This window comes from Homo sapiens, chromosome 1 (genome assembly GCF_000001405.40).
Source record: "Homo sapiens chromosome 1, GRCh38.p14 Primary Assembly".
Taxonomy (NCBI): Eukaryota; Metazoa; Chordata; class Mammalia; order Primates; family Hominidae; genus Homo; species Homo sapiens.
The window spans coordinates 156,665,653-156,677,879 of record NC_000001.11 but is presented as its reverse complement, the minus strand read 5'-3'; the positions used below and the strand labels follow the sequence as shown (position 1 = coordinate 156,677,879).

At 58.3% G+C, this 12,227-nt stretch overlaps 1 protein-coding gene across 1 annotated transcript, besides 5 other annotated features; it reads left to right on the top strand.

Moving 5' to 3' along the window:
* Positions 211 to 871: an enhancer, noted in NCBI's record as "H3K27ac hESC enhancer chr1:156646801-156647461 (GRCh37/hg19 assembly coordinates)". NCBI's record gives its function as "activates a minimal SCP1, AML or CMV promoter by ChIP-STARR-seq in primed H9 embryonic stem cells {active_cell/tissue: H9 hESC(primed)}" and the evidence as "EXISTENCE:reporter gene assay evidence [ECO:0000049][PMID:30033119]".
* NES (nestin) lies at positions 473 to 9,117 on the top strand. Its single transcript, NM_006617.2, has 4 exons — positions 473 to 1,398; positions 2,540 to 2,664; positions 4,353 to 4,426; positions 4,675 to 9,117. The coding sequence occupies exons 1-4, from the start codon at positions 616 to 618 to the stop codon at positions 8,556 to 8,558; spliced, it is 4,866 nt and encodes a 1,621-aa protein (NP_006608.1). The 5' UTR covers positions 473 to 615; the 3' UTR covers positions 8,559 to 9,117.
* Positions 1,533 to 2,193: an enhancer, noted in NCBI's record as "H3K27ac-H3K4me1 hESC enhancer chr1:156645479-156646139 (GRCh37/hg19 assembly coordinates)". NCBI's record gives its function as "activates a minimal SCP1, AML or CMV promoter by ChIP-STARR-seq in naive H9 embryonic stem cells {active_cell/tissue: H9 hESC(naive)}" and the evidence as "EXISTENCE:reporter gene assay evidence [ECO:0000049][PMID:30033119]".
* Positions 3,516 to 4,177: an enhancer, noted in NCBI's record as "OCT4-NANOG-H3K27ac-H3K4me1 hESC enhancer chr1:156643495-156644156 (GRCh37/hg19 assembly coordinates)". NCBI's record gives its function as "activates a minimal SCP1, AML or CMV promoter by ChIP-STARR-seq in naive H9 embryonic stem cells {active_cell/tissue: H9 hESC(naive)}" and the evidence as "EXISTENCE:reporter gene assay evidence [ECO:0000049][PMID:30033119]".
* Positions 4,178 to 4,838: an enhancer, noted in NCBI's record as "OCT4-H3K27ac-H3K4me1 hESC enhancer chr1:156642834-156643494 (GRCh37/hg19 assembly coordinates)". NCBI's record gives its function as "activates a minimal SCP1, AML or CMV promoter by ChIP-STARR-seq in naive H9 embryonic stem cells {active_cell/tissue: H9 hESC(naive)}" and the evidence as "EXISTENCE:reporter gene assay evidence [ECO:0000049][PMID:30033119]".
* Positions 10,374 to 10,947: an enhancer, noted in NCBI's record as "H3K27ac-H3K4me1 hESC enhancer chr1:156636725-156637298 (GRCh37/hg19 assembly coordinates)". NCBI's record gives its function as "activates a minimal SCP1, AML or CMV promoter by ChIP-STARR-seq in naive H9 embryonic stem cells {active_cell/tissue: H9 hESC(naive)}" and the evidence as "EXISTENCE:reporter gene assay evidence [ECO:0000049][PMID:30033119]".

The window sequence follows — 12,227 nt, the reverse complement described above, 5'->3', positions numbered from 1 at the left end:
AGGAGCATTTGCTATTTCAAAAACGAAAAACAAAAACCTGGCCACATCCATTTTTTTCAGCAGCCATGCGATTTCCATCATTGCTCACATTTTATGGATGAGGAAACTGAGTCTTAGAGGAATTCAGTAAGTGATACCTCTCTCGGATGTGTTGAGTAACTGAGACTGCACTCCCTCCCAGGCTGGAACGTCCTGGTACTCCCACCCCCACAGGCTCAGTTCTGTGCATTATCTGCCTTTTTCGGGGATTGTGACCCTTCTTCACAGCCTCCTCCCTCAGAAAGCCACCACCATCAGATCCGATTCTCCATGGTACAGCTTCTTCTTTGGTTCCACTCTCCAGCACCCTGGGGAAGCAGGAACAGAGGCTGCTGCCACTCTCTGACCTCTAAGGGGTTAAGGCCTGGGTCCCGCCCCTCTTCCCGCCCGCCTGGCGGGAGTATGAATAGCCTCGCTCCCACTCCCGACTCTCAGTCGCTCAGGCTACTCCCACCCCGCCCCGCCCCGTCATTGTCCCCGTCGGTCTCTTTTCTCTTCCGTCCTAAAAGCTCTGCGAGCCGCTCCCTTCTCCCGGTGCCCCGCGTCTGTCCATCCTCAGTGGGTCAGACGAGCAGGATGGAGGGCTGCATGGGGGAGGAGTCGTTTCAGATGTGGGAGCTCAATCGGCGCCTGGAGGCCTACCTGGCCCGGGTCAAGGCGCTGGAGGAGCAGAATGAGCTGCTCAGCGCGGAGCTCGGGGGGCTCCGGGCACAATCCGCGGACACCTCCTGGCGGGCGCATGCCGACGACGAGCTGGCGGCCCTGCGGGCCCTCGTTGACCAACGCTGGCGGGAGAAGCACGCGGCCGAGGTGGCGCGCGACAACCTGGCTGAAGAGCTGGAGGGCGTGGCAGGCCGATGCCAGCAGCTGCGGCTGGCCCGGGAGCGGACGACGGAGGAGGTAGCCCGCAACCGGCGCGCCGTCGAGGCAGAGAAATGCGCCCGGGCCTGGCTGAGTAGCCAGGTGGCAGAGCTGGAGCGCGAGCTAGAGGCTCTACGCGTGGCGCACGAGGAGGAGCGCGTCGGCCTGAACGCGCAGGCTGCCTGTGCCCCCCGCTGCCCCGCGCCGCCCCGCGGGCCTCCCGCGCCGGCCCCGGAGGTAGAGGAGCTGGCAAGGCGACTGGGCGAGGCGTGGCGCGGGGCAGTGCGCGGCTACCAGGAGCGCGTGGCACACATGGAGACGTCGCTGGGCCAGGCCCGCGAGCGGCTGGGCCGGGCGGTGCAGGGTGCCCGCGAGGGCCGCCTGGAGCTGCAGCAGCTCCAGGCTGAGCGCGGAGGCCTCCTGGAGCGCAGGGCAGCGTTGGAACAGAGGTTGGAGGGCCGCTGGCAGGAGCGGCTGCGGGCTACTGAAAAGTTCCAGGTGAGGAGGTTGAGGGCCTGGGTGAGAGAAAGTCCCAGAAAGCTCCAGAAAGTCCCTTATGAAGCTCAGAGACCTTCTGGGAAGGGAGTGGGGCTAGCTGGCTGCTGAATCAGGAGCCAGTTCTCAGAAACCTGGTGCCACAAGTCCTAGACTTTTACAGCCCGTCTAGTGTAGGATGCGAATGGTGGGGCTTCTCGAAGCACATCCCGGGTGGGCAGTCAGGCCCAAGACCCGTTGCAGCAGCCCCGCCACTCTCTGGATGGCACCTTCTGGCTCTGATGATGACCGGGGCTCCGGGTCCCTTCCCAGGCTCTGGTATTACTAGGAGGACACCCAGCACTGTCGCCTCTGCGCTGAATCTGGTGGCCTGGCCACTCAGAATCACCAAGTTCCTCACAGCCCTCCTTCTCCTGAGGGGAGGAGTGAGGGGCCGTGAATGAATGGCTACCAGCCCCCTCCCATGTCATGGCTTCTCGGCTCCCTGGAGCACATTCCAGAGGCCCATAACAGCTGCTCCTTCTCACAGGGCACAGATGTGACCAGCAGCTGAGAAAACAGCTTCTTGCCTGGGCCACACAGAGGTGCCATGGCCACCTCCCCATCCCTCCTCTCAGAGGAGACAGAATCCAGAACATGTGGGAAATGGGGGTGGGGCGGGGGTGAGAGCCTGCTGTGAGGAGCAGGAGACAGTTGTGGGAGATGGGACCAACGGGGGACGGGGGCTGTTTGCCTTCCAGTCCTGCAGGCTCCAGGCATCTTGATTAATCGTTTTTCCTTCTGCTTTCGCTTTTTTTTCCCCCTCTTCTCTCTCCATAACCCATCTCGTCTCCTCCCTCACCTCCCCTTCCTGTGGGAGCTGTGTTCTGAGCAACATGTGCTACCATTTAATCAGCATCCTCAGAGGAGGAGCAGGCCATGGGAGAGAGCTGAGAGTGCTGACAGGGGCCCTGGGCTCATCTTGGCTGATCCAGAGGGGGCTCTCTGGGCAGGGAATAGGGTAGGGGAGGCGGGGGTCTGCTACACAGATAAGTCAGCCAGGGAGCAGGAGGTGCTTCCCGGGCAGCGGCAGCGGGCAGGAGGCAGGTTGGTTCACAGAAGGGACCCCAGCCCCTCCACTGACTGCCTCTCGCCTGCCCTGCAGCTGGCTGTGGAGGCCCTGGAGCAGGAGAAACAGGGCCTACAGAGCCAGATCGCTCAGGTCCTGGAAGGTCGGCAGCAGCTGGCGCACCTCAAGATGTCCCTCAGCCTGGAGGTGGCCACGTACAGGTACGAGACGAGCCCTGTCCACCCAGGCACACAGAGGCACACACACATGCTGGGGCAGACTACGTGGCTGAAGGGGACCAGAGGTGTAGGTGATGGCAACTCTGCTGCCACTGGGTTCTGTGACTCTAGGCTGGTCACTTCCACACCGGAACATGTCCTGCCTGAAACCGTCTGCTCCCCCATAGGCTGGAGACCTGAGCAATGTCCTGTGCCCAGGAAATCCCCCCAGGAGAGATGATATTGCCGAGCGGGACAGCCTCTGGAGAGGGGCTGGGCCCGTGTGGGGCAACTGCATCCAGACCCTTCCCCCAAGGGGCAAAGCTCCAACTCTATGTGTGCCCGCACCCAGGGGGTCATGTCCTTTGGCAGCCACGGAAAGGAGGCATTGCAGGCATGGGGTGGCTGCACTGACTTGCCACCTGACCTGGGCCTCAGCCTCGTCTAGGGGCTGAGGGCTGGGCTGGGGGACTTCCAAGGCCTCTTCTAGCCTGGATGTCATGGGGCGAGACTCCTCTGATGCCCCTAGTGCCCTTGGTCCTGCCCAGCCTTTCATTGTCCACATTTTCTGTTATCCTAGAAATGGCTGAGACCAAGGAGGGGTGGCTTCTCACTTGCTATGTGGCCTTGGGCAAAGCCCGCAGTCTCTTCTGGGAAACTGGTCCTGTTGGCTGAGGGGCCATTGATGGGGCCTGAGGAAGGGGCTCTGTGGCTGGTGAGGGGCCACATGAGATCCAGGAAAGGAGGAGAGGCAAGGCCCAGAGATGGAAGGTCAGTGAGGCTCTGGGGAGGACGTGGAGGAGAGGGGCTCCACCGCCAGGGAAGAGAAGCCCAGAAGGAAGGCCGCAGCACTGGCAAGGACAGAGGTGAGGCTACAGCGAGTGCTAACCAGACTCAGAGATCATGGAGCAAAGCAGAGAGGAGCAGCTGCTCATCCTAAGTTATTGAATTGATTGGTCCCTGCTCCCCTCTTTGGTTCAAGGGGCGCTGAGGAAGGGGCCTGGACACAAAGACCTCTGTGCCCCGAAGAGCTTGGGATCCAGAGTGCTTAGAGATCCTGAGATGAGGGCCCTGACCCCCAGTGAAGCCACCAAGGGGAAGGGTCTGGTGGGCCCCGAGGAATTTAACTGCTATTTTTTGAGGCATGAAAAGGATTTGGAGAGGGGGAGCTGAATTCATTTGCTTTTGTCTGTCGCTAGCTCTGGGGGCCACCGGGGAAGGAGGAGGGAGCCCATCCCATGGGAACGGCCTGAGAATTCCCACTTCCCCAGAATCCTCTCCTTCTCAGACCCTCCAGATGGTGGCTTGGACAATGGCAGCAATTAGCATGAGAATCGGTCCCCCACACAGAGGATGAGGTCATTGGCCTGGGGTGGGAGGAGGAGGCTAGCCTAAGCCTTGTGTGGGTGTGTGTAGGGCAATGTCCGACTGTGTGGGAATCTGCTTCTATGTCTGAGCTCTGCTGTGTATCCCAAATACAGTGTGACTTTGTGTGACCAAGTGTGTGATGTCTGTGGGTATGTGACTGTGTGATTTCACCCTGAGTGTGGCTTTTGTGTGACAGTGTCAAATGAAGAGGAAGCCTGCAGGGCCTGGATGGTGCAAGCTCAGCCTGAGTTGTCCCCAGCTGGCTTGCTGCCTGCAGGCCTGGGGGCAGAGGGCTGACCCCACTTTCCCTCTGTCCTCTCCAGGACCCTCCTGGAGGCTGAGAACTCCCGGCTGCAAACACCTGGCGGTGGCTCCAAGACTTCCCTCAGCTTTCAGGGTAAGAGGAGGGGCCAAGTTCCCCCAGAAACTACCCTGCTTTGCTCTTCATACCCAGACCTATCTTTCCCGAGAGGCACCAATCTAAATTTCAAGTCCGTGGCCTCCAGTGTCAGTGAGCATGCTCTCAGCCCAGCCATGGGCGCCAGGGGCAGGCGCATGGATACTCTTGCCAGCGGTGGCTGCTCTGTGGCTCCCCTCATTGCCAGTGATATACTGATGCTGTTTCTTCCCCCTCTGCCTTTCCAGACCCCAAGCTGGAGCTGCAATTCCCTAGGACCCCAGAGGGCCGGCGTCTTGGATCTTTGCTCCCAGTCCTGAGCCCAACTTCCCTCCCCTCACCCTTGCCTGCTACCCTTGAGACACCTGTGCCAGCCTTTCTTAAGAACCAAGAATTCCTCCAGGCCCGTACCCCTACCTTGGCCAGCACCCCCATCCCCCCCACACCTCAGGCACCCTCTCCTGCTGTAGATGCAGAGATCAGAGCCCAGGATGCTCCTCTCTCTCTGCTCCAGACACAGGGTGGGAGGAAACAGGCTCCAGAGCCCCTGCGGGCTGAAGCCAGGGTGGCCATTCCTGCCAGCGTCCTGCCTGGACCAGAGGAGCCTGGGGGCCAGCGGCAAGAGGCCAGTACAGGCCAGTCCCCAGAGGACCATGCCTCCTTGGCACCACCCCTCAGCCCTGACCACTCCAGTTTAGAGGCTAAGGATGGAGAATCCGGTGGGTCTAGAGTGTTCAGCATATGCCGAGGGGAAGGTGAAGGGCAAATCTGGGGGTTGGTAGAGAAAGAAACAGCCATAGAGGGCAAAGTGGTAAGCAGCTTGCAGCAGGAAATATGGGAAGAAGAGGATCTAAACAGGAAGGAAATCCAGGACTCCCAGGTTCCTTTGGAAAAAGAAACCCTGAAGTCTCTGGGAGAGGAGATTCAAGAGTCACTGAAGACTCTGGAAAACCAGAGCCATGAGACACTAGAAAGGGAGAATCAAGAATGTCCGAGGTCTTTAGAAGAAGACTTAGAAACACTAAAAAGTCTAGAAAAGGAAAATAAAGAGCTATTAAAGGATGTGGAGGTAGTGAGACCTCTAGAAAAAGAGGCTGTAGGCCAACTTAAGCCTACAGGAAAAGAGGACACACAGACATTGCAATCCCTGCAAAAGGAGAATCAAGAACTAATGAAATCTCTTGAAGGTAATCTAGAGACATTTTTATTTCCAGGAACGGAAAATCAAGAATTAGTAAGTTCTCTGCAAGAGAACTTAGAGTCATTGACAGCTCTGGAAAAGGAGAATCAAGAGCCACTGAGATCTCCAGAAGTAGGGGATGAGGAGGCACTGAGACCTCTGACAAAGGAGAATCAGGAACCCCTGAGGTCTCTTGAAGATGAGAACAAAGAGGCCTTTAGATCTCTAGAAAAAGAGAACCAGGAGCCACTGAAGACTCTAGAAGAAGAGGACCAGAGTATTGTGAGACCTCTAGAAACAGAGAATCACAAATCACTGAGGTCTTTAGAAGAACAGGACCAAGAGACATTGAGAACTCTTGAAAAAGAGACTCAACAGCGACGGAGGTCTCTAGGGGAACAGGATCAGATGACATTAAGACCCCCAGAAAAAGTGGATCTAGAACCACTGAAGTCTCTTGACCAGGAGATAGCTAGACCTCTTGAAAATGAGAATCAAGAGTTCTTAAAGTCACTCAAAGAAGAGAGCGTAGAGGCAGTAAAATCTTTAGAAACAGAGATCCTAGAATCACTGAAGTCTGCGGGACAAGAGAACCTGGAAACACTGAAATCTCCAGAAACTCAAGCACCACTGTGGACTCCAGAAGAAATAAATCAGGGGGCAATGAATCCTCTAGAAAAGGAAATTCAAGAACCACTGGAGTCTGTGGAAGTGAACCAAGAGACATTCAGACTCCTGGAAGAGGAGAATCAGGAATCATTGAGATCTCTGGGAGCATGGAACCTGGAGAATTTGAGATCTCCAGAGGAGGTAGACAAGGAAAGTCAAAGGAATCTGGAAGAGGAAGAGAACCTGGGAAAGGGAGAGTACCAAGAGTCACTGAGGTCTCTGGAGGAGGAGGGACAGGAGCTGCCGCAGTCTGCAGATGTGCAGAGGTGGGAAGATACGGTGGAGAAGGACCAAGAACTGGCTCAGGAAAGCCCTCCTGGGATGGCTGGAGTGGAAAATGAGGATGAGGCAGAGCTGAATCTGAGGGAGCAGGATGGCTTCACTGGGAAGGAGGAGGTGGTAGAGCAGGGAGAGCTGAATGCCACAGAGGAGGTCTGGATCCCAGGCGAGGGGCACCCAGAGAGCCCTGAGCCCAAAGAGCAGAGAGGCCTGGTTGAGGGAGCCAGTGTGAAGGGAGGGGCTGAGGGCCTCCAGGACCCTGAAGGGCAATCACAACAGGTGGGGGCCCCAGGCCTCCAGGCTCCCCAGGGGCTGCCAGAGGCGATAGAGCCCCTGGTGGAAGATGATGTGGCCCCAGGGGGTGACCAAGCCTCCCCAGAGGTCATGTTGGGGTCAGAGCCTGCCATGGGTGAGTCTGCTGCGGGAGCTGAGCCAGGCCCGGGGCAGGGGGTGGGAGGGCTGGGGGACCCAGGCCATCTGACCAGGGAAGAGGTGATGGAACCACCCCTGGAAGAGGAGAGTTTGGAGGCAAAGAGGGTTCAGGGCTTGGAAGGGCCTAGAAAGGACCTAGAGGAGGCAGGTGGTCTGGGGACAGAGTTCTCCGAGCTGCCTGGGAAGAGCAGAGACCCTTGGGAGCCTCCCAGGGAGGGTAGGGAGGAGTCAGAGGCTGAGGCCCCCAGGGGAGCAGAGGAGGCGTTCCCTGCTGAGACCCTGGGCCACACTGGAAGTGATGCCCCTTCACCTTGGCCTCTGGGGTCAGAGGAAGCTGAGGAGGATGTACCACCAGTGCTGGTCTCCCCCAGCCCAACGTACACCCCGATCCTGGAAGATGCCCCTGGGCCTCAGCCTCAGGCTGAAGGGAGTCAGGAGGCTAGCTGGGGGGTGCAGGGGAGGGCTGAAGCCCTGGGGAAAGTAGAGAGCGAGCAGGAGGAGTTGGGTTCTGGGGAGATCCCCGAGGGCCCCCAGGAGGAAGGGGAGGAGAGCAGAGAAGAGAGCGAGGAGGATGAGCTCGGGGAGACCCTTCCAGACTCCACTCCCCTGGGCTTCTACCTCAGGTCCCCCACCTCCCCCAGGTGGGACCCCACTGGAGAGCAGAGGCCACCCCCTCAAGGGGAGACTGGAAAGGAGGGCTGGGATCCTGCTGTCCTGGCTTCCGAGGGCCTTGAGGCCCCACCCTCAGAAAAGGAGGAGGGGGAGGAGGGAGAAGAGGAGTGTGGCCGTGACTCTGACCTGTCAGAAGAATTTGAGGACCTGGGGACTGAGGCACCTTTTCTTCCTGGGGTCCCTGGGGAGGTGGCAGAACCTCTGGGCCAGGTGCCCCAGCTGCTACTGGATCCTGCAGCCTGGGATCGAGATGGGGAGTCCGATGGGTTTGCAGATGAGGAAGAAAGTGGGGAGGAGGGAGAGGAGGATCAGGAGGAGGGGAGGGAGCCAGGGGCTGGGCGGTGGGGGCCAGGGTCTTCTGTTGGCAGCCTCCAGGCCCTGAGTAGCTCCCAGAGAGGGGAATTCCTGGAGTCTGATTCTGTGAGTGTCAGTGTCCCCTGGGATGACAGCTTGAGGGGTGCAGTGGCTGGTGCCCCCAAGACTGCCCTGGAAACGGAGTCCCAGGACAGTGCTGAGCCTTCTGGCTCAGAGGAAGAGTCTGACCCTGTTTCCTTGGAGAGGGAGGACAAAGTCCCTGGCCCTCTAGAGATCCCCAGTGGGATGGAGGATGCAGGCCCAGGGGCAGACATCATTGGTGTTAATGGCCAGGGTCCCAACTTGGAGGGGAAGTCACAGCATGTGAATGGGGGAGTGATGAACGGGCTGGAGCAGTCTGAGGAAGTGGGGCAAGGAATGCCGCTAGTCTCTGAGGGAGACCGAGGGAGCCCCTTTCAGGAGGAGGAGGGGAGTGCTCTGAAGACCTCTTGGGCAGGGGCTCCTGTTCACCTGGGCCAGGGTCAGTTCCTGAAGTTCACTCAGAGGGAAGGAGATAGAGAGTCCTGGTCCTCAGGGGAGGACTAGGAAAAGACCATCTGCCCGGCACTGGGGACTTAGGGGTGCGGGGAGGGGAAGGACGCCTCCAAGCCCGCTCCCTGCTCAGGAGCAGCACTCTTAACTTACGATCTCTTGACATATGGTTTCTGGCTGAGAGGCCTGGCCCGCTAAGGTGAAAAGGGGTGTGGCAAAGGAGCCTACTCCAAGAATGGAGGCTGTAGGAATATAACCTCCCACCCTGCAAAGGGAATCTCTTGCCTGCTCCATCTCATAGGCTAAGTCAGCTGAATCCCGATAGTACTAGGTCCCCTTCCCTCCGCATCCCGTCAGCTGGAAAAGGCCTGTGGCCCAGAGGCTTCTCCAAAGGGAGGGTGACATGCTGGCTTTTGTGCCCAAGCTCACCAGCCCTGCGCCACCTCACTGCAGTAGTGCACCATCTCACTGCAGTAGCACGCCCTCCTGGGCCGTCTGGCCTGTGGCTAATGGAGGTGACGGCACTCCCATGTGCTGACTCCCCCCATCCCTGCCACGCTGTGGCCCTGCCTGGCTAGTCCCTGCCTGAATAAAGTAATGCCTCCGCTTCAAAGTCTGGACTCTTCTTTCCCCCACTCAGAGGGGACCCTCAGGGTTAGTACAGGAGAGAGATGGCGGGGGCGGGCGGGGGGTGGCGGGGGAGAGGAGGAAGCTGGTGCTGGGGAGGGGCTGCCTCCTGAGGAGAGGAGGACCTGGGGGGATGAGGGCAGACAGACCCAAGCTGCAGGGAGCAGTGCTGGGGCCTGGGGAGGGCCAGGGGCTGTTGCTTGGCTGGGGGAGGCCAGTCCAGGTGACCTCAGCGCCTGCAGAAGCCAGGCCCATCATCATCTCTGCCCACAGTACTGATTACAGGGATTAGGCCTTGGGGCCACCCCCACCCTTGTATACCCCCCCCCATTAGTGCCTTGGTGCCGCCAGCATAATAAGCCCCCTTGTCTCTAAACCCAAACAAGTTGTCTGGCCTGATCTCCTCAGCCTGACTGGGTGGGAGCAGGGTGAGGGAAGAGGCAGGCCTGTTCTTCCTCAGTCTGGCTGCATGGCCTCAGGTCAGCATTGATCCTCTCTGAGCCTCAGACTCTGCCACACAATGAGAGAGGCTGGGCCAGGTGACCTGGGAGCCTCCCAGGGCCCAGGAGAGCAGGAAGGAGGCTGAAGACAGCGTAGCTCTTCAGTAGGACTTCCTTCACACGCTGCAGCAGGAGGCAGGGAAGAAGGGAAAGTGGAGGGGGAGCTGAACTGTCAGGGTGGGAGCTAGGGGTGTGCTGATGACAGTGCTGTGCTGGCAGCAGCTTAGCCCGAGGGTCCTCCAGCCACAGTGTCTCCTCCTCACCCCACTTCCCAGGAGCTCTCTGTGTCCCTGTGTAGGACAGGGAGGGGACCAGGGGTTCCTGGATTAGGTGGGGCCTGCAGGCCTTGAAGTCAGGATACCCAAATAGAAACCACTCGCTGCTTCAGCTCTGCGGGGAAGGAAGATCTGGCGACACTTCTAAATAGCGCGGGTGGGGGTGGGATAGGGCTGCCAAACAAATGCTCCAGTTTGGAGTCAATCCCAAGTCCAGGAGCAGGCTCTTCCTCCCTTTGGGCTCAGGGCTGAGGGCTGGAGAAAGATGAGAAGATGAAGTCCCAGCCCCTCTGGCTCCTACTTCTGTCATCCAGCCAGAGAGAGGTGGATAGGGGCCTCCCTGACAGGCCCTCACTGTCTGCTTCTCTGCCTGTCTCCATCTAGCACCTCTGTCTTGGGCACCCAGGCTCCATTTCACAGCCGCTATGCCCTATCCCTCAGGGGCCAAGATCCTGTCTCTCCCCACCCCACCCTCCTGGCAGCCCAAACCTCCGCTCTCTCCTTCCTGTACCCACTGCTAACAAGGCCCTATCTAATCCTGCCAGGCTGCTAGGCCTGGGGCCAGTGCATTGGCATCCAGGCAAGGAAGGCCCACTCCCTGCCCCTCCAATGGGACAGAGGTGCCCTGTGCTTGATCTCCCCAGGCCCTTGGGCACCTCCGCTTGGGCAAGGGCCAAGGACAGGGGCCTAGCCAAGCAGTCCTTCCCTGTGCCTGGTGCCCACCCTACCCCCCACACAGGGCCCCTGATCGCCTATAGAGTTACCAAACTGGCCATTGCTGCCAATAATCTCAAACAGGGTAGAAGCGAGGACTTCCCTAAGGATATATGTCGTGGAAGGCGTGTTCTCTTTGGAAGTGATTGTCTGTCAATGCAGCAAGAGGAATGAGGGTTGGACAGTAACAGGGACATTCCTGGTGGTGAGAACAGGAGTAGTCATCATTTGTTAACAACTATTTACTGAGCATCTACTACATGCCATGCGCTGTGCAGGCACTGGGGAGCCAAGATAAAGAACAATGTGCTTCCTCACTCAGGCAGCTTTACCTACCAGTTAAACAAGGGCTTCTCAGTGGAAATCATATCTGAAAACGGAGAAGTGCCCTAGGTTATGGGAGCAGAGTGCAGGGGACCTCGCCTGACCTGGGCTGGGGGGTGTACGGGAGGGGGTAGACAGGGAAGGCTCTCCTGAGAACCTGAAGGATGAGCAGGAGTGGCCAGTGGGGGAGGAGGGGGAGGAAAATGGTTCTGGTCAGAGGGAACAGCACGTGCAAAGTTCAGAGGCAGGAAGAGAGCCTGGGCAACTGAGGAAGAGAAGGAAGGCTCCTGTGCCAGACGGTGGAGGAGGGAAGAGAAAGTTCATGATGAGACTGAAGAGAGAGCCAGGGTTCGGGGACAGAGGTCTCATTAGATAGGCAGGAAACAAAGAATTCTTCGTATTTGGAGGCAATGAATGAATTCTGAAGTGAGAGCTTCTAAAGGGTTGTAAGCAGAGGTGACCTGACCAGGTTTGCGTTTCTTTTTTTTTTTTTGAGAAGGAGTCTCATTCTGTCACCCAGGCTGGAGTGCGGTGATGCAATCTTGGCTACTCCAACCTCTGCCTCCTGGGTTCAAGCAATTCTCTTGCCTCAGCCTCCCAAGTAGCTGGGATTACAGGCGCCCGAGGCCACGCCCAGCTAATTTTTGTATTTTTTGTTTGCTTGTTTGTGTTTGGAGACGGGAGTCTCATTCTGTCACCCAGGCTGGAGTGCAGTGGTGCGATCTTGGCTCACTGCAACCTCTGCTCCCAGGTTCAAGAGATTCTCCTGCCTCAGCCTCCAGAGCAGCTGGGATTACAGGCACCTGCCACCACACCCGGCTAATTTTTGTATAGTAGAGACAGGGTTTCACCATGATGGCCAGGTTAATCTCAAACTCCTGACCTCAGGTGATCTGCCCGCCTCGGCCTCCCAAAGTGCTGGGATTACGGGTGTGAGCCACCGCCCCCTGCCCAGGTTTGCATTTCAAGTCAAACTCTCTGGCTGCTGTGTGGAAACGGGTTGGTGTGGGCAGGAGGGCTTCAGGGAGGCTCCTGCCTGCCACAGTGCAGGCAGGAGACAGTGGTGGTGGCAGTGGTGGTGGAGAAGAGACACGTGAGGAAAGGGAATCTCAGGACTTGGTAATCCACGGTAGGGAGGGGGATAGGCCAGCAGAGGGTCCCAGGTTTTTGGCCTGGGCAGCTGGGAGACGTAGGACTATTTTCTGAGCAGCAGAGTCCAGCAGGAAATTGTGACCTCCAGGAGGAGGTGCCTGGGGTGGGTGGACACATGGAACTGGAGCACA

Bases quoted from the DNA above. Each gene is read 5' to 3' on its own strand.
- NES (NM_006617.2), top strand. From the start codon at position 616: ATGGAGGGCTGCATGGGGGAGGAGTCGTTTCAGATGTGGGAGCTCAAT. The intron at 2,665-4,352 runs GTACGAGACGAG...TGTCCTCTCCAG, and splicing joins CTGGAGGTGGCCACGTACAG to GACCCTCCTGGAGGCTGAGA. The intron at 4,427-4,674 runs GTAAGAGGAGGG...CTGCCTTTCCAG, and splicing joins GACTTCCCTCAGCTTTCAGG to ACCCCAAGCTGGAGCTGCAA.